This window comes from Homo sapiens, chromosome 6, assembly GCF_000001405.40.
Source record: "Homo sapiens chromosome 6, GRCh38.p14 Primary Assembly".
In the NCBI taxonomy this organism is placed as follows: Eukaryota; Metazoa; Chordata; class Mammalia; order Primates; family Hominidae; genus Homo; species Homo sapiens.
Window position 1 is genome coordinate 7,426,294 of NC_000006.12, and position 27,253 is coordinate 7,453,546.

At 46.5% G+C, this 27,253-nt stretch overlaps 1 long non-coding RNA gene across 3 annotated transcripts; it reads left to right on the forward strand.

Annotated features, from left to right (window-relative positions):
- Nucleotides 1–578: 578 nt before the first annotated feature.
- Nucleotides 579–26,500, forward strand: LOC102724234 (uncharacterized). Of its 3 annotated transcripts, none has more exons than XR_926434.2 (3): nucleotides 579–638; nucleotides 3,754–3,844; nucleotides 26,272–26,500. It is a non-coding gene; the product is annotated as an uncharacterized LOC102724234 (long non-coding RNA). The 3 variants fall into 3 exon arrangements; XR_926435.2 differs by lacking the exon at nucleotides 26,272–26,500 and adding an exon at nucleotides 12,833–12,866; XR_427872.3 differs by lacking the exon at nucleotides 26,272–26,500 and adding an exon at nucleotides 12,362–12,399.
- The last annotated feature ends 753 nt before the right edge of the window (nucleotides 26,501–27,253 follow it).

Genomic DNA, 27,253 nt, shown 5'->3' on the forward strand with positions numbered 1-27,253 from the left:
ACACACCAATCAGCACCCTGTGTCTAGCTCAGGGTTTGTGAACGCACCAATGGACACTGTATCTAGCTACTCTGGTAGGGACTTGGAGAACCTTTATGTCCAGCTAAGGGATTGTAAATACACCAGTCAGCACTCTGTATCTAGCTTAAGGTTTGTAAACACACCAATCAGCACCCTGTGTCTAGCTCAGGGTTTGTGAATGCACCAATTGACACTCTGTATCTAGCTACTCTGGTAGGGACTTGGAGAAGCTTTACATCTAGCCAAGGGATTGTAAATGCACCAATCGGCACTCTGTATCCAGCTGAAGGTTTGTAAATACAACAATCAGCACTCTGTGTGTAGCTCAGGGTTTGTAAACACACCAGTGGACACTCTGTATCTAGCTAACCTAGTAGGGAGGTGGAGAACTTTTGTGTCTAGCTCAGGGATTGTAAACGCACCAATCAGCACCCTCTCAAAACAGACAATCAGCTCTCTGTAAAACAGACCAATCGGCTCTCTGTAAAATGGACCAATCAGCAGGATGCGGGAGGGGCCAGATAAGAGAATAAAAGCAGGCTGCCTGCCCTAGCAGTAGCAACTTGCTCAGATTTATGTTTCCGTAGTGTGGGAGCTTTGTTCTTTCACTGTTTGCGGTAAGTTTTGTCAGTGCTCAGGGTTTGGGTGTGCATTGTCTTTGTGAGTTGTCACGCTCACTGTGAGAGCATGCTGCTTCGCTCTGAAAGCCAGGAAAACCCTGAACCCCGCAGGAAGAACAAACAATTCCAGACGCGCGACCTTAGAGACCTGTAACACTTAGCGCGAAGGTCTGTAGGTTCATTCCGGAGCCAGTGAGACCATGAACCTCTAGGAAGAAAAAACTCAGAACGTATCTAAAATGCCAGAAGGAACTAACTAGGGACACGCTGCGTTTCAGAACTTTAACACTGAACGCGAGAGTCTGCGGCTTCATTAAGTCAGTGAAACCAATAAACCCCCCAATTGTGGACACTAGGATTACAGGCGTGAGTCCCCACACCTGGCCTGTTTAGTGGCTGATTTTAGAATTAATCCTCACTGAAGAACTCCTGAGGAACTAACTCCTCAGTAACATTTTTCAGAAGTTGTTCATCCAATCAGGATCTGGCTTACTTCAAAATAAGCTGGGTTTGGTGACTCACACTTTAATCCCAGCGCTTTTGGAAGTTGAGGTGGGCGGATCACTGGAGGTCAGGCATTTCAAATCAGCCTAACATGTAATCCTGTCTCTACTAAAAATACAAAATTAGCCAGGTGTGGTGGTACATGCCTGTAATCCCAGCTACTTGGGAGGCTGAGGGGGATCATGCTTGAAACTAGGAGGCGCAGATGGCAATAAGCCGAGACCTCACCACTGCACTCCAGCCTGGGCAGTAAGAGTGAAACTCTGTCTCAAAAAAGTAAAAAGCACGCTTTAACAAAAGAATAACAATAACAAAAATAGACGTTTAAAGGGCCTTAGATTGCGAGGGTGAATGCTGATGAACTTGCTGAGGCTCACGTCATCTTTCTGGGCCTCCGCTTTCTCATCTGTAAAATAATATTGAACTGATAAAGCCTCTGATAGGTTTAGAGCTGCCCTCTTCAGCAGGGAGTCAGGAGCCACATGTGACTACTGAGTGTTTGCATGTGGCTAGTTTGGATTGTAAGTGTGAAATACATACTGGGTTATGAAGATAGTATGACATATATAATGTATAGAATAATTTTTAAATGTTGGGTACATGTTGAAATGGTAATATTTTGCATATATTGGGTCAAATATTTACATTAATTTCACCCACCTTTTGGTAGGATAGGAAATTTAAATTCCGTTAGTGGATATGTGATACATAGGATAAAACAACATACAAAGGAAGGAACTTTCCCCCAGAATCTAAGTTAAACTTCACATAAGATACTTTTTTAGCTGGATGCTGTGGTTCACACCTGTAATCCCAACAGTTTGGGAGGCCGAGGATCTCTTGAGGCAAGGAGTTCAAGACCAGCCTGGGTAACAGAGAGAGACACCACTTCTACCAAAAATTTATAAATTAGCTGGGTGTGGTGGTGAATGCCTGTAGTCCCAGCTACTTAGGAGGCTGAGGTGGGAGGATCGTTTGAGCCCAGGAGGTTGAGGTTTCGTGAGCAGTGATCGCACCACTGCACTCCAGCCTGGGCGACAGAGTGAGATCTGGTCTCACACACACAAAGATTCTTTAAAATTTCATACTCAGGAATATTAATTCTGAAGAACAAAAACAAAAAGTTAAAATTGCCATTCCAATTGGTTTAAATATAGTTGATATACAGAGTATGGGGGAAAATGAGACTTCTTAAGAATAAATAAAAGGAGACGTAAAATACTTGTTTTTTTCCCCAACAATATTTTGTTAGCTTATAAGTTTGTTCCTCAAAGTTTTCTACCAAAGATGGAAGAACATCACTGAGCTGCTTCTACTCCACCTCCAAGCGTGACATTTCTTTCAAATCTCTTGTTTGAGCTTGAAAAAAAGTCCATGTGAATTTTTCATTCCTTTTCATACTAAATTCCTGTTAAATTGTTTTAATTTATTTTTAAAATTGGCCGGGCACAGTGGCTCACGCCTGTAATCCCAGCACTTTGGGAGGCTGAGGTGGGTGGATCATAAGGTCAGGAGTTCAAGACCAGCCTGGCCAACATGGTGAAACCCCATCTCTACTAAAAAATACAAAAATTAGCTGGGCGTGGTGGCAGGCGCCTGTAGTCCCAGTTACTTGGGAGGCTGAGGCAGAAGACTTGCTTGAACCTGGGAGGTGGAGATTGCAGTGAGCCAAGATCATGCCACTGCACCCCAGCCTGGGCGCCAGAGTGAGACTCCATCTCAAAAAAAAAAAATTGATACATATCAGATGTACATATTTTTTGGGTACATGTGATAATTTGATACATTCATATAGTCAAATCAAGGCAATTGGGATATTTATCACCTTAAATCTTTATCTTAGACCAGGTGCAGTGGCTCATGCCTGTAATCCCAGCACTTTGGGAGGCTGAGGCGGGCGGCTCACTAGAGGTCAGGAGTTCAAGACCAGCCTAGGTAACATAGTGAAACCCCATCTCTACTAAAAATACAAAAAAAATATATATATATTGGCCGGGCACAGTGGTGCACACCTGTAATCCCAGCTACTCGGGAGGCTGAGGCAAGAGAATTGCTTGAACCCAGGAGGTGGAGGTTGCACTGAGCCTCGGTCATACCACTGTACTCTAGCCAGGGGAACAGAGCGAGCCTCTGTCTCAAAAAAAAAAAAGATTATATTTTCTTTACCCTAGGAACATTTGAATTATTCTAGCTGATTTTGAAATATACAATCAATTAACATTATAGTAACCCTACTGATCTATCAGCACCATGTCTTATTTCTTCTATCAGCTTAAAACAAAATTCATGTGAATTTTTCACTCCAGTTCATAATAAATTTCTGTTATGTTTGAAGTTTTAAACTCACATCAAGTAATGATGCTCCAGAAAGTAGTTCCCCACGTTTAACCTGTAGTTTTCTTGTGGCACATCAGGATGACCATAATTGTATTGTATATTTTGTTGCTCCTAAAAAGAGTATGGCAAGATTTTTGTCAATTGGAGGACAATGGTATCCATTATATTGCAGTTAGGATTAAATGAGATATAATGCAGGCATGTCATTTAGCACACAATACACTTTAATAAAAATAAATACTGGTTACTTTTCTCATTTGGTTCCTAATAGGTGCCATTCCATATAAAGTGAAGGATAACGGCTACAGCATTTTTTGTTAGACTTGGACAATGTTGAATGTACTACAGAAGCATACTTTAAGGTATGTGCATGGAGGCTGCTATAGGACATATAGGTACCCATTCATTTACAGTTTGTTGTTGTTGTTGTTTTGAGATGGAATCTCACTCTTGTTGTCCAGGCTGGAGTGCAATGGTGCAATCTCGGCTCACTGCAACCTCTGCCTCCCAGGTTCAAGCAATCCTCCTGCCTCAGCCTCCCAGGTAGCTGGGATTACAGGCATGTGCCACCACGCCCGGCTAATTTTTTAGTATTTTTCGTAGAGACGGGGTTTCACCAGGCTGGTCTCGAACTCCTGACCTCAGGTGATCCACCCACCTCAGCCTCCCAAAGTGCTGGGATTGCAGGTGTGAGTCACCGCGCCCGGCCTACAGTTTCGTTAATACTTATGCAGGTGTTCGTAGGCAGTCATGTGCTGTAATTGAAAAGTCCCAGATTTGAGTTAAGAGAACCTGATTCTAGCCCAGGATCTGCTACTCCTTTTTAATTTTTTAAAAATAATGTATACCTTGCCTATTAATAATTTTTAAGACCAGATACAGTGGCTCACACCTGTAATCGCAGCACTTTGGGAGGCTGAGGCAAAAGGGTTGCTTGAGCTCAGGAGTTCGAAACCAGCCTAGGTAACATAGAAGACCTCATCTCTATTAAAATAAAACTAAAAAAAAATTAGCCAGGCATGGTGGCACGCGACTATGGTCCCAGCTATTCAGAGGCTATGGTGGGAGGATCACTTGAGTCTGGGAGGTTGAGGCTGCAGTGAGCCACGACGGTGCTCCAGCCTGGGTGAATGAGATGCTGTTTCAAAAAAAAAAAAGAAAAGAAAAGAAGAAAAAGAAAAACAACACAACCCAAACACCAAAAAACAGAAATAATTTTTAACTAGTCTTCGTTAAGCAACATTCTCAATACTATCAGTAAAAAGATCAAAGCCATTTAGAGGAAGGGAGAAGGTATTATAGCCAAAGCAAAATAGGCTGCCATAGCTGGTGCCTCGCTGAATTTCCTGAGTTGTTGAGCACAGGGTCAGTGAGCTTGGGGAAGTCATTGGACATTTCCCACCTGGCCTGGGTCCGCCCACCTCCACAGTGCAGTGGTTGGATGCCGCCTCCTGCAGTATTGACTAACTGGGCGAACGTGGGCAAATCCAACTTTCTGAACATACTCCCTTATCTGAAATGAGGACGGTGTGGAAGGTGAATGTGCTGCCAGTGAAAGCTCAGAGCTTGACACCAGGAAGCACTCAATTAATGCTGGCTTCCCCTACGAATTCTCAGAGTCTAATACAAATTCACTTGCGGTGTCATTCTGTCGTTCTGTTACCCTCTTCCAAAATGAGGAAGTGAGTGTTCTTGGACGAACAGGCTCCTTTGGATTTAAAATCACCACTCCAGAGCAAAGTGGTCTTTCCATCCTTAGCACAGCCCGTGGAGGAGGAAGGAGGATCACTGTGGAAATCGTCCTCACCTCCCACGCGGCTCCTGGGAATATGTCTCAAGAGCAGATGAGGGCCTTGACCTCAATGGCAGATCAGTTCACCCTACATTGTAAATGGCTCATATGCGTAGAGCAAACGGTGATGGGTGGAGGGCAGTGGAAGGGGCGTGGTGGGAAGTCCAGAGAGAAGTCCAGAAAAGAGAGGATGGAGAAATCCAAAAGCCACTGACTTCACAGTTTTACCTGGGCCAGCCCTGCCCTGGCCTAAGCCAGGGGGAGGAGCTGGTTGGCTTTCAGGGCCTCCTCATCGCGTCAGGAAGCCACACCCCATTTGGGACAAGGGACCACAGTGCACAGCTTGTGGGCTCAGGTGGAGCTGGGATCGGAGCTGCGGCCCTCACCGGGCAGCCTGAGTCCCATAGGGCGGGACAGCAGGGCGGGGGCTGTGGCACCAGCCGAGCTCCCGACCCTGCGCCACTTGAGACCCCAGATTTCCTCTGGCATGTAAGCCAAGTGGTCATTTGGATTCTGGAGGAGAGCCAGGTTGTTGTTTTGGGTGCTTATGTTTGTTTTGTTCGTTTGTTTTCGGTTCGTGGCAGCCTCATGGAGCATCTAGTTGCTCAGCTTGGTGCAGTGTGGAAAGCCCGGAGCTGCGGCTTTGCTGGAAAGCCAGATCCGGTTAGGATCTCTTCAGTAGCCTCTTTGCTGCGGTGGTTTCCGAGCAAGTACACCCGTGCTTGCTGCCTTCAGTCTGTGGCCGGGAAAGAAAGTGTCTTGACCACAGAATCAGTGGGCAGTTCTGAGGCATTCGCTGGATTGCTCTCCCAGCATCTCTCTAAAATACCGTGACCTTGGGAGCGGTTCTGAGTCCTGGGGTGGCCGAGTGGGCTTACATGCTTCTGCCTCTGGAGGCAGGGGATGGGGAACAAAGAGAAGATTCTCTGGGGACGGCTTTCCAGAGTGAGAGGCAATGTTTCCAGAGGTGTCACAGAGACAAAAGTCCAGCCCTCTGACTAGATGGGCTTGCTGCAGACAAGGCAGTTCTGGAAACAAACAAACAAAAAACTTCAAACAGGTTAACAATGGGAAAATATTTTTGCAATGAAGAAAAAACAAGCCCCTACGAGAAGGCAGGTCCAGAAAAGATCGCTGCATGATTGTATTTTGGGTTTGAAATTTCAGCTGCTTCTATCTTCAAGCCAAAGGCAGACCCACCCCCAGCCTCGGCGGGCTCTCCCTGGTCTAGGGAGGGCCACACCAAAGGGGCCTCACCCCTTTTGGTGTGGGCTTTGTGCCAGCCAATGTCAGCATCCCAGCAAGCCAGCATTTGTTTCCTAGAACTATGTGTTTTGAAGGGGAGAAAGATTATATTCGGCACATTATGGGGCCTTTGGATCCTGCGGGTGGACGCTGGGTGCGGGTAGGGCTGGCTGTGCTGTGGGACGCCAAGTGCTGCCCACTGGAGCTGCAGGGGTGTGAAGGCAGCACATGCACCGCCTGTGCTAGATGGAAAACGAAGTGTCTGCAAATACTAACAGATATGAAAGAAGGCTGCTCAGCGTGTGGAAACGGGTGGGTGCTGGAGCCATTGGAACCCTGTGGCTTTTAGGAATGTGGATGGCCAGTGCTTGCAGATGTTCACAGAGTGAAAACTGTGGATGGACCAAGAGGCCAGACTTCACAGCTTGGGTTGCCCCTGGGAGGGCAGGTGAGAATCAGGCAGCTCTTGGGTTTGAAGGCCCGGACCCTTGAAGGGCTGCTGTTAGTGTTTGTGTCTCTTCCTCAGTTAACACCTGGAAGCAGGACAAGGAACGCCCAGAGGAGCTCCTTTGGTAGTTCGCCAGCATAGGGGCAGGACTGTCATCTGATCTGTGGAAATGGGATCCACTTTCTGTTGGCCTATTAGGGCCTTTCTCTGTCACACATAATTTCAAGAAGAGGAGGGGAAATTGAAAAGTGGTAGCCTTGACTGTCAGCATCCTGCCCTAGTTTGGAAGTCAACAGTCTGTCCTTCTCCGGGAGTGGCCAGTGCTGCTCTGGGGCTGCTTCCTGCACCCCACAAGCTGCAGAACTGCAAAGCCTCTCAGCCTCCCATGAGTCTGGTCTGATTATTTTTTTTGAGATAGTCTCATTCTGTCGCCCAGGCTTGAGTGCAGTGGTGCTGTCTTGGCTCATTGCAACCTCCGCCTCCCAGGTTCAAGTGATTCTCGTGCCCCAGCCTCCCGAGTAGCTGAGATTACAGGTGCGCACCACCACGCCCGGCTAATTTTTTGTGTTTTTAGTACAGATGGGGTTTCACCACGTTGCCCAGGCTGGTCTTGAACTCCTGAGCTCAGACAATCCACCTGCCTTGGCCTCCCAAAGTGCTAGGATTACAGGCATGAGCCACTGCGCCCAGCCTGATTTTTCTTTCTTTTTTTTTTTTTTAAGTAGAAAATGTGAACAGCAGAATGAAATGCCACCCAGTTAACCCATGTATGCCAGAGGTTGCAAATTTTTTGTGTGTGTGAAAAATCAGACCTTAGCGATGACCTTGAGCAGTAGAGTATAAATAACTCCCATAAGCTTAGCATTCCGATAATGGAACACTAGGCATAAATGGGCTAATGACCTCTTTCCTTCCTTGGGCTCTTTTTATGTAGCTTTTATGCTGCTGGTTTTTGTTTTTTTTTTTTTTTTTTGAGTCTTACTTTGTCACCCAAGCTGGAATGCAGTAGTGCAAACATGGCTTACTGCAGCCTCAACTTCCCAGGCACAAGAGATCTTCTCACTTCAGCCCCCTAAATAGCAGGACTACAGGGGCACACCACCACACCTGGCTAATTTTTTTTTTTTTTTTTTTGGTAGAGATGGGGTTTTGCCATGTTGTCCAGGCTGTTCTCAAACTCTCCGAGCTCAAGCGATTTGTCCACCTTAGCCTTCCAAAGTGCTGGGATTACAGGCGTGAGCCACCGCGCCTGGCCTCACGCTGCATTCATAAAGAGACTTACCACACGGAGTCTGATTGGAGGTTGCAATAGAGGTTTGAAAGCTAGGAGTAAATGTTTACGTTAAACATAGACTTATGTGGCTTAGATTCTTTTCCCAACATCCCATCCTCCTATCAAAATAAAATAAAACTTCTTCCCCAGCAAGTAGAAAGTTGATGAAAATCAAAAAAACCATATAGTTCATTCACTGTATTATTTTTCTAAATTGAATATTATTCTAAGCCTATCAACAGAATGCTATTGGGGAATATACAAGGGTTATATGTTATCTCCTATCCTTAATATTGCTGTTTCTTATGCAATAACACACACGTGGACACACACACACTCACATGTTCACACTCACACACAAATGATTTGGAAAGAATGTGAGGTCTAAGTGCTAAATTGTGTGGCCCAGAGGTACATGCCATAGATGTACAGAGAAAGGAGCAAATTGCATGGATTGGAGTGGTTGGGTGGGACTGGTAGGACCAGAGCCAGACTGAGGGATGGATAGGTTTGGGTGGGGACTGGGAGGGTGAAAAGCTGAGCTACATGCCAGAGGTAGATGACAGAGAACCTGCTCTGCCTGGATGGAAGAGTGCACCAACTGGTGTGCTTCTGGTTGCAAGTAACAGTAAACCCTGACTTGCACCGAGATGATCACCAGAAATATCCCAGAACTAAAATATGAAGATAAGACAGTTTTCAGGGCCACAAAGAGGTGAAAAAAACCCGAGAAGATGGTAAGATAATCAGATTTCCACATCTGTGACACCCCTCCCCTCGTTCTACCTGGCAGCAAGTGTGTGGAAAATTTCCCCCCAACTCACTGTTTCTACACTGGTGTAAGTAAGATCAAGGTCAACAAACAGCTCCCCCACCATCTTGGGTTCCCCGGCAGGAGATCCGTTCCTTCCTTAACCCACAGGAAGCATAAAAGGAGAAATATCTCTGAGAACAGGCAGAGACAAAGGGAGGAGGCAGGACTACCATCCCCACCCTGGAAATTCTGTTCTGTAACTCAACCAAAGGAGGCACCAAGTCAGAGTGACTATTTAGCAGTACGACACTGTAGGGGGTTCAGCTCACAGGTCCCCTGGGCACAAACTCCTAGCCAGGAAGGGCAGTATACTGATCAGTTACTAGAGTCAAAGTGAACCTGGGCTTTAAGGTGCCACCCAGAGCTGAAAAGGGGGCAGTGGCCTAGCAGTGAATAACTTCTAAGCAAATATATTCAATAAAAACCCAAACAAGCTAGAGAAGACTGGAATACATAATGTTTCAATGCAAAGACAGACGTACATCCAGAAGAAACAACGGCAAACAGGGAACAACAATCCTCCAAAATGGACAAACCAAGGAACCAGTAACTGACCCCAACAGGATGGTGATATGTGAGCTCTCTGACCAATAAGTCAAATAGTAGTTTTAAGGAAACTCAGTGATCTCCAAGATAATACAGAAAAGCAATTCAGAAATTCATCAGAGAAATTTAACAAAGAGATTGAAATAACAACAAACAAACAGAAATATTGGAACTAAGAAATACATTTGCTGAATTAAAATATTCATTAGAGGCTCTCAACAGCAGAATGGATCAAGTTGAGCCAAGAATCAGTGAGCTAAAGACAGGTTATTTGAAAACACACAATTGGAGGAGAAAATAGAATAAAAAGCAATCAAGTGGCCGGGTGCAGTGGCTCATGTCTGTAATCCTAGCAATTTGGGAGGCCAAGGTGGGCAGATCACCTGAGGTCAGGAGTTCGAGACCATCCTGTCTAACATGGTAAAACCCTGTCTCTACTAAAAATGCAAAAAAAATTAGCTGGGCATGGTGGCACACGCCTGTAGTTCCATTTACTCCGGAGGCTGAGGCAGAAGAATCGCTTGAACCCAGGAGGCAGAGGTTGCAGTGAGCCGAGATCATGCCACTGCACTCCGGTCTGGGTGACAGAGTGAGACTCTGTCTCAAAAAAAAAAAAAAAAAAAGAAAAAAAGACTCCAGGGTATTTGGGCAGACAGCTCCTGTCATCTGTCTCCTCTGCCTTCTGCATTATCTCCACTCTCTTCCAAAGTGCAGATTCCTCCCTTTCCTAATTAAAGAGTATGCTTGATAGCTTTTCCCACACCTTGCCCATCATTTCCTCTCTCCTTTTTTTTTTTTTTTTTTTGGAGACAGGTCTCACTCTGTTATTCAGTCTGGAGTGCAGCGGCATGATCTTGGCTCATCACAACCTCCGCCTCCTGGGTTCAAGCAATTCTCCTACCTCAGCCTCTCGAGTAGCTGGGACTACAGGTGTGCACCACCGTGCCTGGCTAATTTTTGTATTTTTAGTAGAGATGGGGTGTCACCATGTTGGTCAGGCTGGTCTCGAACTCCTGACCTCAGGTGATCCACCTGCCTCGGCCTCCCAAAGTGCTGGGATTATAGGCGTGAGCCACTGGCCCCGGCCTATGGTGCTGTGTTCTTACAGTTCTAGAGACAGCCTCTGGTTCAGAGGAGAAAGAAGGGTCTGGTTCTACAGAGTTTCTCAATCTTGTTCTATGAGCTACTTCTTTGAGAAACAGCTTGAGCTACAGGTGTGTGTCCGTAAGCTGTTGAGACGGGCAGCTGCATGAACAGAAAGGGTGTGGGCCACTCAGATAAGGGTGACTATGAGATAAAGAAATGACAGGTCTCGGGGCTGAGTGTGGTGGCTCCTACCTGTAATCCCAGCACTTTGGGAGGCCAAGGCGGGAGGATCACTTGAGCCTAGGAGTTTGAGACCAGCCTAGGAGTTCAAAACATAGTGTGACCCCCATCTCTACAAATTTTTTTTTAAATTAGCTGGCATGGTGGCACAAGCTTACAGTTCAGCTACTAGTGAAGATGAGGGGGAAAGATTGCTTGAGCCGGGGAGATACAGGCTGCCGTGAGCCAAGATCGCATCAGTGCACTCCAGCATGGGAGACAAAGTGAGACTGTCTCAAAAAGGAAAAAAAAGAAGAAAACGAAAGAAAGAAAGAAAAGAAAAGAAGAAAGAAGAAAATAAAGGAAAGAAAGAAAAGAAAAGAAAAAAGAAGAAAATAAAGGAAAGAAAGAAAGAGAGGAAAGGAAAGGGATGGGACAGGGAGGGGAGAGGAGGGGAGGGGAGGAAAGAAAAAAGAAAAGAAAAGGACAGACAGCCACAATATGACTGAGAGAGGGTAGATTTTGACCAGATGTCTGAGCTAGGAAAAACCGTGAGGAGAGGAGACAATAAACTCCAAACCCAGTTTAAGATGGAAGTCTGGCTGGGTGTGGTGGCTTACGCCTATAATCCCAGCAGTTTGGGAGGTCGAGGTGGGCAGAAAACCTGAGGTCAGGAGTTTGAGACCAGCCTGACTAACATGGAGAAGCCGTCTCTACTGAAAATACAAAATTAGCCGGGCATGGTGGTGCGTACCTGTAACCCCAGCTACGCGGGAGGCTGAGGCAGGAGAATCACTTGAACCTGGGAGGCAGAGGCTGCGGTAAGCAAAGATTGCGCCATTGCACTCTAGCCTGGGCAACAAAAGCAAAACTCCGTCTCAATAAATAAATAAATAAATAAATAAATAAAAAGGAAGTCTTGAGAATAATCTGCTCATTTAAAGAAAAAAGAAAAAGGGAGGGGGTGGACTTTAGTTCCACATGTGTTGTGGCCTGGCTGTGAATGTGCTGTGGGTTTCCACAATAAAGGCCTGGCCAAGGACTCATCATGCCCCAAATCCTAGATGAGAAACTTTCATAAGTCAGAGGGCCTGGCCCTTCTGACTCTCAGATTCTGAAAATTAGTTTTTACCTTGATTTGGACAAGAAGATTTATTGGGTGGGGGGTTTTCCTACAAATTTGAAAACTTCTAAAAGCCATTTGAATTTTACATCTATATTGAAATATGGGAAACTGGCCTTTGTAAAGATGTTTTTCACTTCTTTTTTTTTTTTTTTTTTTCCCGAGACAGAGTCTTGCTCTGTCACTTAGGCTGGAGTGCAGTGGTGTGATCTTGGCTCACTGCAACCTCCGCCTCCTGGGTTTAAGCAATTCTCCTGCCTCAGCCTCCAGAGTAGCTGGGATTAGAGGTGTGTGTCACCATGCCTGGCTAATTTTTTTTTTTTGTATTTTTAGTAGACAGGATTTCACCATGTTGGCCTGGCTGGTCTTGAACTCCTGACCTCATGATCCACCCACCTTGGCCTCCCAAAATGCTAGGATTACAGGTATGAGCCACCACGCCCGGCCTTGTTTTTCACTTCTATAAAAAGCATTGATAGAAAGGATGCATACTTTCATGATTTAAACTTCCTATGGATGTCTCATGTAATTAATATCATTGCTTCAAAGATGAGTTGTGAATTTCTTATGGAAATTAAATAACTCTACCTGTTTTGGATGAGAAATTTCATTCATTTTAGTGTTAGCCTACCATAATGATAGCCAGGGGATTCTGTTTCTTTATTGTGAAAAAAAGGTCTAAACTTTATATTAATGTTACTTTAGTTTAGAATAAACATTTTTTCCACTTGCAAAAACATCCAATATTGCCGTTTCACTTTTTGTCAAATGTATATGTATGTACTTATTTTTCTTTTTTAAAAGGTTTGAGACAGGGTCTCACTCTGTCACCCAGGCTGGAGTACAGTGGCTCGACCTCAGCTCACTACAACCTCTGCCTCCTGGGCTCAATCAATCTTCCCACATCAGCCTCGTAGGTAGGTGGGACTACAGGTGCACGCCACCACATCCACTTATTTTTTGTATTTTTTGTAGAGATGGGGTCTCACTGTGTTGCTCAAGCTGGTCTCAAACTTCTGGGCTCAAGCCATCTGCCTGCCTTGGCCTCCCAAGTGCTAGGATTACAGACATGAACCATCATGCCACGCCCTTATTTTTCAAAGTCAATCAAATTATTAAGTTAAAAAAAACCACTTCCCCTATACCCACTTCCCCAATTTCTCCTTTGCTAGTGTCAGTTATGTTCTTTTAACTGATTATTTTGGTATTTACCTGGATAAATTTAATTAACAAGCTTGTATTGCTTTATTTTTCAGTTTAAAACATTAGTTATTTTCTTCTATGAAAGTTGAAGATTTAGTTCTTCATTCTCCACATATTTTCACTTCTGTCCTCTTGCCTGTCATCCCAGTTATGTTTTAACTTTTATTACTTTTTGTTAGACACGGAGTCTCCCTATGCTGCCCAGAGCAGATTTGAACTCCAGGGTTCAAGCCATCCTTCTGCCTCAGTCTCCCGGGTAGCTTGGAGTTTTCACATCAATTTCCATTATTTGTGTCAGTGTGACTATCTGTGTTCAGAGTCAATCTTGTAATATTGCAACTACTTTTTTCTTTTGTGCTTAGCTATTAAGTTTCCCCCAAATTAACAACTGTCCTTTTTTTTAAAAAATTGCCTACTTTTCTGTCTGCTGTGGCTAATTCAACTCCAAACTTTCTGCTCATTGTCTGGGTCCTGTCCCAGTAGGTTCATTTTCATCATATATCCTCCCAGTTTGGTCTCCATGCAGACCCTCCGGGCTAGTTGCTCCCACGCTGGTGTCCAGCAATCATCTGGCAGGCCCCTTTTCCCGTCACACGGGGATTCTCTTCATCTCTCCACCATCAAGTCTCCAGTTCCTTGACTTATTTTTCATCTCCTTGTCATTTTACTCTGGGAGATTTCCAGTTTTACCTTGAACTTTTCATTTCTATTATATTTTTAATTTCCAATAGATCTTTCTTTGTTCTCTTGAATGCTACTTTAAAAAAACTCATTGTGGGCCGGGCGCGGTGGCTCATGCCTGTCATCCCAGCACTTTGGGAGGTTGAGGTGGGCGGATCACGAGGTCAGGAGATCGAGACCATCCCTGGCCAACATGGTGAAACCCCGTCTCTACTAAAAATAAAAAAATTAGCCTGGCGTGGTGGCGCGTGCCTGTAATCCCAGCTACTCCAGAGGCTGAGGCAGGAGAATCACTTGAACCTGGGAGGCGGAGGTTGCAGTGAGCTGAGATCACGCCACAGCACTCCAGCCTGGCGACAGAGAGAGACTCCGTCTCAAAACAAAACAAAAAACTAAAACAAAACAAAAAACCTCATTGCATTCTTCTTTTATGAATACACTCTCTTTTCTCTATATTGCTGTCATCTGGCTTTAAAAACATGCTGTCCTGACTTGGTTTTGAGTCTCTAGCTAGAGACAGGTCAGTTTCCCTTATTAATACTCGAGGGGGTTCTGGAAGTTATCTTTTCTCTGCAGTGTCCCATTTCCCCAAGTTGCTTTTCCCCCTTCCTTGCGTCTCCTTGATATTAGAGACTTTGGTGGTATGCTGCTGCATTCTTTAGGGTGTAAACATTCACACCACCCTCCCCACTGACTCTCGGGTCCTCCCCCGCAGCTGTGCCCCTGGTCCCCAGTGCAGAGACCTTCTCCTTTCCCCTCTCCTGAAAATACATCTGTCCCCAGGCTTGTGCTGCAGTGGGAAAGGGCCCGTCCAGGAGTCGGGGAGGGATCCTGGAATTTAAAAGCATCTTTAACAGCTCCTCCTCAGAAACCCAGTCACACTTCCTTCCCCGCTAGTGAGAGGTGCCAGCCTGCTGGCAGCCCCCCTTCGCTCTTGGCACCTCCTCGGCCTCGACGCCCACTCTGGCCGTGCTTGAGGAGTCCTTCAGCCTACCGCTGCACTGTGGGATCCCTTCCAGGGATGGCCGAGGCCGGAGCCGGCTCCCTTGGCTTGCGGGGAGGTGTGGAGGGACAGGCACGGGCAGTAACCGGGGATGCGCGCGGCGCTTGCGGGCCAGAGCGAGTTCTGGGTGGGCTTGGGCTCGGCCGGCCCCGCCGGCCCAGGCAGTGAGGAACTTAGCACTTGGGCCAACAACGGCTGTCCTCGATTTCTTGCCAGGCCTTAGCTGCTTCCCCATGGGGCAGGGCTCGGGACCTGCAGCCCACCATGCCTGAGCCCCCCGTCCCAACCCCGCCCTGGGCTCCTGCACAGCCCGAGTCTCCTGAGCCTCCCGGACGAGCGCCGCCCCCTACTTCACAGCACAGAGTCCCATTGACCGCCCAAAGGACTAAACAGTGCGGGTCCACGGGCGGGACTGACAGCTCTACCTGCGGCCCCGCTGGGGAATACCACCGGGTGAAGCCAGCTGGGCTCAGTCAGTCTGGTGGGGACTTGAACAATCTTTATGTCTAGCTAAGGGGTTGTAAATACACCAATCAGCACTCTGTATCTAGCTCAAGGTTTGTAAACACACCAATCAACACCCTCTGTCTAGCTCAGGGTTTGTGGCTGCACCAATCGGCACTCTGTATCTAGCTAATCTGGTGGGGACTTGGAGAACCTTTTTATCTAGCTAAGGGATTGTGAATACACCAATCGGCACTCTGTATGTAGATGAAGGTTTGTAAATGCACCAATCAGCACCCTGCGTCTAGCTCAAGGTTTGTAAATGCACCAATCGGCGTTCTGTGTCTAGCTGATCTGGTGGGGACTTGCAGAACCTTTATGTCTATCTAAGGGATTGTGAATGCACCAATCGGCACTCTGTATCTAGCTCAAAGTTTGTAAATGCACCAATCAGCACTCTGTGTCTAGCTCAGGGTTTGTAAATACACCAATTAACACTCTGCATCTAGTTAATCTAGTGGGGACGTGGAGAACTTTTGTGTCTAGCTCAGGGATTGTAAACGCACCAATCAGCACCCTGTTAAAAACGGACCAATCAGCTCTCTGTAAAACAGACCAATCGGCTCTCTGTAAAATGGACCAATCAGCAGGATGTGGGTGGGGCCAGATAAGAGAATAAAAGCAGGCTGCCCGAGCTAGCCCCGGTAATTTGGTTAGTTTGTTTCATATGATGTGAGATATTTGTCTTTTTTTTTTTTGTTTTTTGGGTTCAGATTGTTGTTGGGAGTTTCAGCGGTTTTTTGCTAAAGTCTGTAGATTTTTCTGAATCTAATGTGGGTTGTGAGCCCTTGAAAAAGAACAGAGAACTTCAGATATGGTACTTTAAGTATGATAACATGAACTGTGAAGGTCTGCAGCTTTACTCCCGAACTAGTGAGACAGCGAACTCTGGGCAACGCTGTGTTTAACAGCTGGAACACTCACTGTACAGCTAAAACACTTTAAGTTTGCAACTTCGTTCTTGAAATTAGTAAGACCGAGAACCCGCTAGTTCTGGACACACTAGTTCCCAGGGTTACCAGGTGCTGCCTCTTTATGAAAGGCTGAGGCTTTTTGGCTGTTAGCTTTTCTCTATCTAGTATTCGGCTTTTCTCAGGTTAGTTATTTGCCCTACCGCTGACGTTTGTCTTGTACGTTTTTCCGCAGTTTTCTTTTAAGCGCTCTATTCTTGTGGGTGGTTTTGTTTTGGTAATTCAGGAAAGAAAATGAGGTGTGTGCATTCGTTACCTATCTTTCCCCTGAACTACAGTTGAGTGGTGTGTTACTTATCTTTCCTCTGAACTACATGGTAATTTGTGGTTCAGGCTACAGCACTCTGAAAACATGACTAGAAATCCTATTTCATTGGTGTATGCTCTTAAAATTCAAAAAAACTAAATGCCTAATTCTTTCGTGTCTATATTCTCAAAATCTTGTCAAGCCAAGGAAGGTAAAGGAGAAAGTAGTATTCAGTCATCGGTAGCTTTTTGTATTCAATCTTTCTCATTGATAAAGCTTTAAAGGTCGTACAGGTCCTCACTTCATGACAATGATAAAAGGAATCACAAGAGGGCAGGTTTACTTGGTGAGCAGAAGGATTGGAAGCATTTTCTCTCTTGACATTGTTTGGAATTGCCAGCCCATGATAATAAAAAGCAGAGTTTTGATCAATCGGTTGATTTTTGAGACAGGTTCTCACTCTGTCACCCAGAACTGAGTGCAGTGGTGAGATCTCGACTCACTGCAGCCTTAGCCTCACAGGCTCAACCGATCCTCCCAGCTCAGCCTCCCGAGTAGCTGGGACTATAGGCATGTGCTTCTTATCCCCGGATAGTTTTTTTTAATGTTTTGTAGAGACGGGGTCTCTCTATGTTACCGAGGCTGGTCTCCAACACCTGGGCTCAAGTAATCCTCCTGCCTTGGCCTTCCAAAGTGTTGGGATTACAGGCATGAGCCACTGGCACCTGGCTCGGTTTATTATTGTTTTTTTTAAATCTCCTTTGTCTGCATCTGTCTGGTGGTTTTAGTTGAGGATCTTGGGACAAACAGGCTCATAGCAATGATAGGGAGATTTTAGGCAGAAAATGGAAAGTTTCTGGGATTTCAGAAATTTTCAAACTTCAGAAACTGTAACGGTTGTTTGTAGCTCTTTATATTATTCCATCTTTATAAAATTCCATATGTGGAAATAATGTGTGTTCTCATATTTAACTCCATCCAGTCATGCATTTAGTGCATATTCATTGAGGACCAATTACGTGCCAGTGTTGCTGAACAGGGGAAGGACGCAACGCTATTGAGACTTCCCAGCCGGGCACAGTGGTGCATGCCTGTAAGCCCAGCACTTTGGGAGGCCAAGGTGGGTGGATCAGTTGAGGTCAGGAGTTGGAGACCAGCCTGACCAACATGGTGAAATCCCATCTCTACTAAATACAAAAAATTAGCCGGGTGTGGTGGACATGCCTGTAATCCCAGCTACCTGGGAGGCTGAGGCAGGAGAATCTCTTGAACCCGGGAGGCAGAGGTTGCAGTGAGCTGAGATTGTGCTATTGCACTCCAGTCTGGGCAACAAGAGCGAAACACTGTCCAAAAAAAAAAAAGCCGGGCGCAGTGGCTTATGCCTGTAATCCCAGCACTTTGGGAGGCCAAGGCGGGCAGATCATAAGGTCAGGAGATCGAGACCATCCTGGCTAACACGGTGAAAACCCATCTCTACTAAAAATACAAAAAAAAAAAAAAAATACTAGCTGGGCGTGATGGCAGGCGCCTGTAGTCCCAGCTCTTAGGGAGGCTGAGGCAGGAGAATGGCGTCAACCTGGGAGGCGGAGCTTGCAGTCAGCCGAGATTGTGCCACTGCACTCCAGCCTGGGCGACAGAGTGAGACTCCGTATCAAAAAAGAAAAGACTTCCCCTGGGGAGTGTCTGTAATCTAGCTAGAGAGATATCTTTTTATTTACTTTGTTTCTTTATTTTTGAGAGGGAGTCTCACTCTGTCACCCAGGCTGGAGTGCAATGGCACGATCTGGGCTTACTGCAACCTCCGCCTCCCGGGTGCAAGCAATTCTCCTGCCTCAGCCTCCCCAGTATCTGGGATCACAGGCACATGCCACCATGCCCTGCTAATTTTTGTATTTTTAGTAGAGAGACAGGTTTCTCCGTGTTGGCCAGGCAGGTCTCGAACTCCTTCCTGACCTCAAGTGATCCACCCCCTCGGCCTCCCAAAGTGCTGGGATTACAGGCATGAGACACCATGTCCGGCCGAGAGATATCTTCTTAAAAACTGCAATACAGGGACAGCGTGATGAGAGGTACAGCAGAAGTTTTCTTGACTATGAGCTACAAAAGAAGCCCAAAGGAGGATGGAATTGATCTTGCCTGGGGGCATCAGGGAAGCCTTCGGTTGGAGAGGACATCAGATAGCACAACAGTTCATGCAGAGAGTGGGGAGATGAAATCATTCAGTGTGTCTGAAGAGTAGGATATGTGGTGGGGAAGGGGCCTTTGAAGGGATCTGAAGATGATTCTTCAGGCAAGGAATTTTCAAAATCCACTCCACAGCAGGAATAACCTCCTAAGACTCCCTGGAGATCCTGACTCAGCCCTTCTTGGGCCCTCGGAATCTCTGTTTTTTTTTAAAGCTCCCAGATGTATCAATCAGACTTAGAAATCACTGCTCTGGGCAGTACGATTCCACTTTAGGAATTTAAGTAGGGGAGAACATAATCAGATTGGCATTTTAGCAATATCCCTTCAACCAAAATGTGGAAATTGGACTGAGAGAGAATGGAGGCAGGGAAGCCCCATGGGAAGCTTGTGAGAAAGTGGGGACAGGAGCCAAGGCCATGGGAGCTGGGGTGGAAAGGATAAGACCCGACAGCACACGGCGGTTGTGTAGCTGTAGAGAGGGGAGCAGAGTCGTCACATGGCGCCCAGGTTTCGACTGGGACAGTAACTGGGTAGGCAGTGGTCAAGATGGGAAATCAGTGGAGGGTCAGAACTGGAGACAGAATGAGATCCTTTGGGAAACAATGAGTCTGAGCTATCAGCGGGCAGATGTGGGAATGGATGTGAAAATTTGAGGTCCCCCTTACGGGGGTGCTACTGGACATCATAGGAATAAGTGAGTCACCCAGACAGAGGGTGAAGAGTCAGAAGGGAAGACAACGACGCTGTCAACCTTCAAGGTAGGTAGGACCGTGAGCATGGGGGTGGGTGGGAGAAGGTGGTAGGGTCAGAAAACTGGCAAGGAGGAGAGTCGGGAGGAAAAGGAAAACACGGTGTCCCCAAACTGGGGAGGAGGACAGCCTTAAAGAAGAAGGGTGTGGTCACCCAGGCCCACTGCCCTTCCTGAAAGCCACCTCCCACCCTGCACGGCACCTCCTGGGAGCAGGCAGCTGCAGCCCCGAGGGAAAGGCGAGGGGAGCAAAACTGAGGATCTCCCTCAATTATTTTTAATCTCTTTGCGGATTTCGTCAGTGCTCAGCAGCATTTTCTCCCAGAAACAAAAGCAGGAGGGTGCTGGGGGCCTGGGTGTGGCTCCGGGAGCCCTAATTGCTGAGTGAGACACTCCTCGGTCCTCTGGTGTCCTGGAGAACAAGTTGGGGGAGCCGCCCGCCCCACCCTGCAGGAAGAGGCCAACTCAGAGCTGTGCATTACTTTGTACATTTCTTTGATTTTTCTTCTTATTTTTTGAAGCATATGCAGTACTCAGAGATCATTTTAGACACTGCAAGAAGACAAAGATACCTAAAGAGGAAAAATGAGTTTTTCTCCCTCATTCTGGGCTCTCCACTGCTTATATTTTGAGTTTAAAGGAGACATTATACACACATTAAAGAGATTCATGGAGGCCCTTATTACTGGGTGAAATATATTCTGTAAGCCAGCCGTCCCTAGCCTTTTTGGCACCAGGAAGCGGTTTGGTGGAAGGCAGTTTTTCCATGGATGGGAGGGTGGGGATGGTTTCAGGATGAAACCACCACCTCAGATCATCAGGCATTAGTTAGACTCTCATAAGGAGCACGCAACCTAGATCCCTCACACGCGCAGTTCACAATAGGGCTTGTGCTGCTATGAGACTCATGCCACCGCTGTTCTGACAGGAGGTGGAGCTCCGGCGGTAATGCTTGTTCACCCCACGCTCACCTCCTGCTGTGCGGCCCAGTTCCTAACAGGCCACACAGATACTGGTCAACGGCCGGGGGCTGCGGACCCCTGCTGTAAGCCTTTTCTTCACCCAGCAAGATTTAGTGTTGTTCATCCGAAGAGCTCAATTCTTATTATGGACACAAATGAATTGATCTAACCAGCAGCCCTGGGAAGTGAGAAAGACTAATTACCCCAGGTTGTAGTTATTTCTTGGATGGATGGCTTTGGGTGGATAGCCGGGTGCTGTGAGTACATTCATTCACTATTCATTCAGCAGATATTTTTATTGACTGCCTACTCTGTACAAATTAGTGTGGATGAAACTATGCCCTGCCCACAGGAACATGTCCAGCTGGGGAGCAAGATGGAACATGCATGCAAAGGTTTAGAAACACTGCAAACAAGGCTACCTGCTGTCGTTCCTGGCCAAAGGAAACAGAACGGAAGAGCCTCTGTTCCCCAGAAGTGGTCACTTAGGGTTGCCCTGATCTGGGAAGGTTCTGTGCAGAGGTGGCCTCGTGAGGTGCGCTGTGGCACATAGACCTGTCACCAGTGGAGGGTGTCCAGGTTCTTGGCATCTTGAACAAAGAATTGGACAAAACGCACAAAGCAAGGAAGAAATGAAGGGGGTTTATTGAAAATGAAAGTACACTCAGGCCAGGCGCTGTGGCTCAAGCCTGTAATCCCAGCACTTTGGGAGGCTGAGGCGGGTGGATCACAAGATCAGAAGATCGAGACCATCCTGGCTAACACGGTGAAACCCTGTCTCTACTAAAAATACAAAAAAAAAAAAAAAAAAAAAATTAGCCGGGCGTGGTGGCAGGTGCCTGTAGTCCCAGCTACTCGGGAGGCTGAGGCAGGAGAATGGTGGGAACCCGGGAGGCAGAGCTTGCAGTGAGCTGAGATTGTGCCACTGCACTCCAGCCTGGGCGACACAGCAAGACTCCATCTCAAAAAAAAAAAAAAGAAAGTACACTCGACAGCGTGGGAGTGGGCCTGAGCATAGGGGCTCAAAGGCCCCGTTACAGAATTTTGGGGAGTTTAAATACCCTGTAGAGGACTTGGGGTATGCCCTATGTAAATGAAGAGGTTGAAGTAATGTTACAAAGTCATTTACTAGGGAGAGGATATTTTCTGTCATAGCGGAAGTGTGAATTGGCCTTATGTTCCCTGCCTCCAGACCCTATTTTCCTGCCTCAGACCTTGGTCACTCGCTGGCTGTCCGTGTCCTTTTCAGACCTTCAATATCTATTCCTAAATAACAGTTGTTAGAAAGTGCTTGAGAAGTGTAACTGAAGTTGCCTTTCTCTGTCCAACCCCCAACTCTGCTCTCCAGCCCCCAGCCCCATACCACTTCTCATGGGGGTCACAGCTGCCTGATTCCCGGTGGGCCGCCCTCATGAGCTGTCTCATTGTAAAGTCTGCCTCCTGGTACATAGTGAGGACTTTGTAAATGTTTGTTGAATGAGGCAATGAAGAGCCTTCTAGACAGAGAGTAGAGAGTGTGGGGCTAGCATGCGCTTGTAGTGTTCAGATGAAAGGGAGTCAGCCTGTTGGGTTGGAGTCAGGTGTGTGTGGGAGGACGGTGGAAAGATAGCCAGGGTCCTGTCTGTCCACACACGAGGCTGAGAATTGGGACTTTGTCCTGTTGGTACCAGAGAGTCACAGAATGTTCTGGAGCAGGGGATTGACAGGGCAATGTGGGGGGAAGGTCAGCTTGCGCCGCTGTGTAGGGTGGACTGGACTGGGTTAGATGAGAGGAGGAGAGGCCAATTAGGACTGTCCCAGTAGTGCAGGGGAGATGACACTGCCGCTCCCAAAGCAAAAGATGCAGGTTAAAAAAATGTGTCTATTTTCCATTAAAGAATATTTTAGCCACTGGCTGGGCACGGTGACACACGTCTGTAATCCTAGAACTTTGGGAGGCGGAGGCGGGTGGATCACTTGAGGCCAGGAGTTTGAGACCAGCCTGGCCAACGTGATGAAACCCCGTCTCTACTAAAAATACAAAAATTAGCCGGGCGTGGTGGTGGGTGCCTGTAATCCCAGCTAATTGGGAGGCTGAGGCAGGAGAATTGCTTGAACCCTCGAGGCGGAGGTTTCAGTGAGCCGATATTGTGCCATTGCACTCCAGCCTGGGTGACAAGAGCGATACTCTGTCTCAAAAAATATATATAAAATAAAAATAAAAACAAAAAATAAAAAAAATATTTTAGCCACTGATAGGGCAATGATATGTAAAATTTATTTTTTTGTTAGTTTTTTTTTCTTTTGAGACAGGATCTTGCTCTGTTGCCCAGGCTGAAGTGCAGTGGCACCATCACGGCTCACTGCAGCCTCAATTGTGTGATCCTTCCACCTTAGCCTCCTAAGTAGATGGGATCACAGGCACGCACCACCATGTCCAGCTAACTTTTTAATTATTTATAGAGACAAGGTCTCACTATATTGGCCAGGCTGGTCTCCAACTTCTGGTCTTAAGCAATCCTCCTGCCTTGGCCTCCCAAAGTGTTGGGATTACAAGTATGAGCCACCACGCCCGGCTACCATGTATAATTTTAAAATCCACATGAGTTTCACTTAGGCCATAGTAGAATGGCCTCATATTCTGAACAGGAATTGATCTGAAACTGACCTTTCACTCCTAAGGATGCCTTTCTTGTAAATTCGGCCTTCTCTCCCCCTGTGAGTGGAATTCTCTCTGGAAATCAGATGGCAATGAAAGACTGGGAGCCCTTATCTTTTGTGTTATTGATTTGGTTTTGTTTACTCTGACTCCCAGGAGAGACTCCCAGCAGGGATTCCTCGGGAGGGCTCACGTATGTGTGTGTTGTGTGTCTGCACATGTGTGTGACTTTTCCTAGATCTCCTCCAGATTTTTTTTTTTTTTTTTTTTTTTGAGACGGAGTCTCCCTCTGTTGGCTAGGCTGGAGTGTAGTGGTACGATCTTCGCTCACTGTAACCTCCGCCTCCCGGGTTCAAGTGATTCTCCTGCCTCAGTCTCCTGAGTAGCTGGGATTACAGGTGTGCAACACCACACCCGGCTAATTTTTGTATTTTTAGTAGAGGCGGGGTTTCACCATGTTGGTCAGGCTGGTCTTGAACTCTTGACCTTGTGATCCACCCACGTCGGCCTCTCAAAGTGCTGGGATTCCAGGCATGAGCCACTGCGCCCGGCAGCTCCTCCAGAATTTATCTGGAGCTAAACATTGTCCAGTTGCTGCTGACCCTAATCTCTGTTAAGAGAGTCTTGGTTCTCCACCCACAGTGCTCCACTTGACCAGCTTCAACTAGTCTTAAAAAAAAAAAAAAAAAAAGCGAGATTGAGTTTCTTGGCGCTCAGTAAGCCAGGGCTTGAAAACACCACAGCTTCCCACTTCCCCAAGACTGCGGACAGGATGGGTTTCAACAAACCTCTTGGCCTACAGGCAAAGAGCTCATGGCAAAAACGACTGTTTAAATAAAGCTTGGGTGGGCCAGCTTTTTAATTTTTTCCAGGATGACTTCATTTGGCAATGATGATTGTGCATGTTGGCAAACAGATGGGAGAATGAAAAAATGCACGGTAAAGGTGTTCTGTAGGAGGGAGAGGAGAGAAGGTCTGGGAGAGAGAAAGGGCATCTGAGGACAGCAGCAGCAGCAGCAGCAGGAGAAAGGAAAAGATGAGAAGACCTGAGGAGGGTGGGTGAGAGGTGTATGGAACAGGAAAGAAAAGATTTGCCTTAAGTGAAACTTTGACTCTTTGCTTGCTTTCTTTTTTTTTTTTTTTTTTTTTTTTTTTTTTTTTTTTTTTTTTGAGATGGAGTTGTGCTTTGTCACCAAGGCTGGAGTGCAGTGGCGCGATCTCGGCTCACTGCAACCTCCACCTCGTGGGTTCATGCAATTCTCCTGCCTCAGCCTCCCGAGTAGCCGGGATTACAGGCATGCGCCACCACGCCCGGCTAATTTTTGTATTTTTAGTAGAGACAGTGTTTCACCATGTTGGCCAGGCTGGTCTTGAGCTGACCTCAGGTAACCCACCCACCTCAGCCTCCCAAAGTGCTGGTATTACAGGTGTTAGCCACCGCGCCCAGCCAACTTGGACTCTTCATAGCTAGACCAGCATGTATTTTAAATGTGTTTTAAAATGTATATAGAAGAGATCCATCATGTGGCAGTAATGCCACCCAATTCTTGTTTTGAGTATTAGGATAGCTTGGAATGGATGTGGATCAAAATTTTGCATTTCTGAAACATTATTCTCCCTTTTTTGTTTTTGAGACTGAGTCTTGCTCTGTCACCAGGCTGGAGTGCAATGGCACAATCTCAGTCACTGCAACCTCCGCCTCCTGGGTTCAAGTGATTCTCCTGCCTTAGCCTCCCGAGCAGCTGGGGTTACAGGTGCATGCCTGTAACAGGTGTTACACCTGGCTAATATTTGTATTTTTAGCACAGACAGGGTTTCACCATGTTGGTCAGGCTGGTCTCGAACTCCTGACCTTAAATGGTCTGCCTCAGCCTCCCAAAGTGCTGTGAATACAGGCATGAGCCACCGTGCCTGGCTGAAACATTATTCTCGATAGCTGAAAAGCAGAAACAACTCAGATGTCCATCGGCTAATAAGTGGATGTGGGTATGCAAACAACAGATTATTATTCAGCCTTAAAAATGAGTAAGTTCTTTTGCAACATGCAACAACATAGCTGAATCTTGAAAACATGATGCTGAGTGAAAGAAGCCAGCCACAAAAGATGACATATTGTATGATTCTCTTTTTAAGAAATGTCCAGAATGGGCAAATCCATAGATACAGAGGACAAATTGGTGGTTGCCAGGGACTAGAGGGAAGAGGGAATGGGAAGTGACTGCTAAAGGGTTTAGGGTTTCCCTTTGGGGTGATGGAAACGTTCTGGAATTACACAGTGATGGTTGTACACCTGTGTCTGTACCCAAAAATCACTGAACTGTACACTTTAAAAGGGTAAATTTTATGTGACTACTATCTCAACTTTTAAAAAATGTTGTGTTTGTGTGACTATACTTTTCAACTTTGGCCCTACTCATTTTGTTTGTATTTATTTATTTTTTCTTCCTAGAAATAGTATTACGGTCACATGATTCAAAATTCAATATATAAAAGGATGTAAAGTGAAAATTCTTTCTCCCATCCTCGTCATTCCCAAGCTACTCAAAAAGTAAGCAATATTACCAGTTTCTTGTGTGACTTTCACAGATTTTGTGCACACAAGCAAATAAGTACAAACAAATATTCTTCCCTTGCTCTTTTTAAATAAATAGTGACATTCACATGGTTCTGTACCTTGCTTATTTCACTAGCCAACACATTTGGTTGAAACCTTGTTCATATCAGTGCATGTAGATCTCTGCCATTTGTCCAAACATATGCCTTTGGATTACATGTGTCATTTGTTTAATTGGCCCACTCTTCTTCTTCTTCTTCTTCTTTTTTTTTTTTTTTTTTTTTGAGACAGGATATCTCTCTGTCGGCTAGGCTGGAGTGTAGTGGTGTGATCATCATGGCTCACTGTGGCCTCAAACTCCTACTATGGACAGGAGACAGGGAAATACTGGGTAGAAGAGGACAGTTCCCCAGCAAAGGCCCCACCCTCAAGCCTGGATACCCATGGCCCTAAATGGGAACAGGCATTTCTGTTTTTGCACCCCAAAAGTTGACTTTTGGCCCACATGCTCCCTATCCTGTACCCATATAAACCCCAAATTCCAGGCTCCAGAGAGAGACAAGGAGATGAGGAGACAAGCAGACGAACAGCGGAACAATGCAGCAGAGAAAGAGAGAAGAGAAGGAACGTCTGAACGTCGAGAGGAGTTCGGCTGCTGGACGGCCAAACTCCAGGGGAAGATCATCTTCCCACTCCATTCCCCCTCCAGCTCCCCATCCATCCCACTGAGAGCCACTTCCACCACTCAATAAAAGCCCCACATTTATCCTTCAAGTCCATGTGTGATCCAATTCTTCTGGGATGCTAAACAAGAACCTGGGATACAGAAAGCTGTCACACTGGCCCTCTGCCCTTGCAGAAAGGCAGAGGGGCCCTGAGCTGGTTGATACTTAAGCTGTCTGTGGATGGCAGAACTAAAAGAGCATTGGGACACTGGGGTTGCAGGCACCCCCCCACCCCCAGACACTACTGCAGGGCTGGAGCCCAAAGTGCTCGCTGTGGCTCACGCCCCTGCCCATCTGCATGCTTCCCCTCCTGCAAGAAGTTTGAGCTTGCAGTGGGCGGTCAAACAGAGAGCCGCACCCCTGTCACATGCCCTGTGAGGGGGGCCAGGGAACTCTCCCGTTTACCTCCCAGGCTCAGGTGATCCTCCTACCTCAGACTCTCAAGTGGCTGGGACCACTGGCACATGCCACAATGCCTGGCTAATTTTTTAAAAATTATTTGTAGAGACTGGGGTCTCCCTGTTGCCCAGGCTGGTCTCTAACTTCCGAGTTCAAGTGATCCTCCTGCCTCGGTCTCCCAAAGTGCTGGGATTACAGGTGTGAGCCACCAAGCCCAGCTTAACTGGCCCACTCTTGATGGAAATTTGGTTCTTTCCAATCCTTTCAGACTTCAGTGAATAATTTCCTTCATACATGATTTCACCCATACAGGAGGTTATCTGTAGGCTTAAATTCTTAGAAGTGGGATTGTGATTAAGGGGTATGTGCACTTGTAGTTTTGGTGGATATTTTCTAGTCTCCT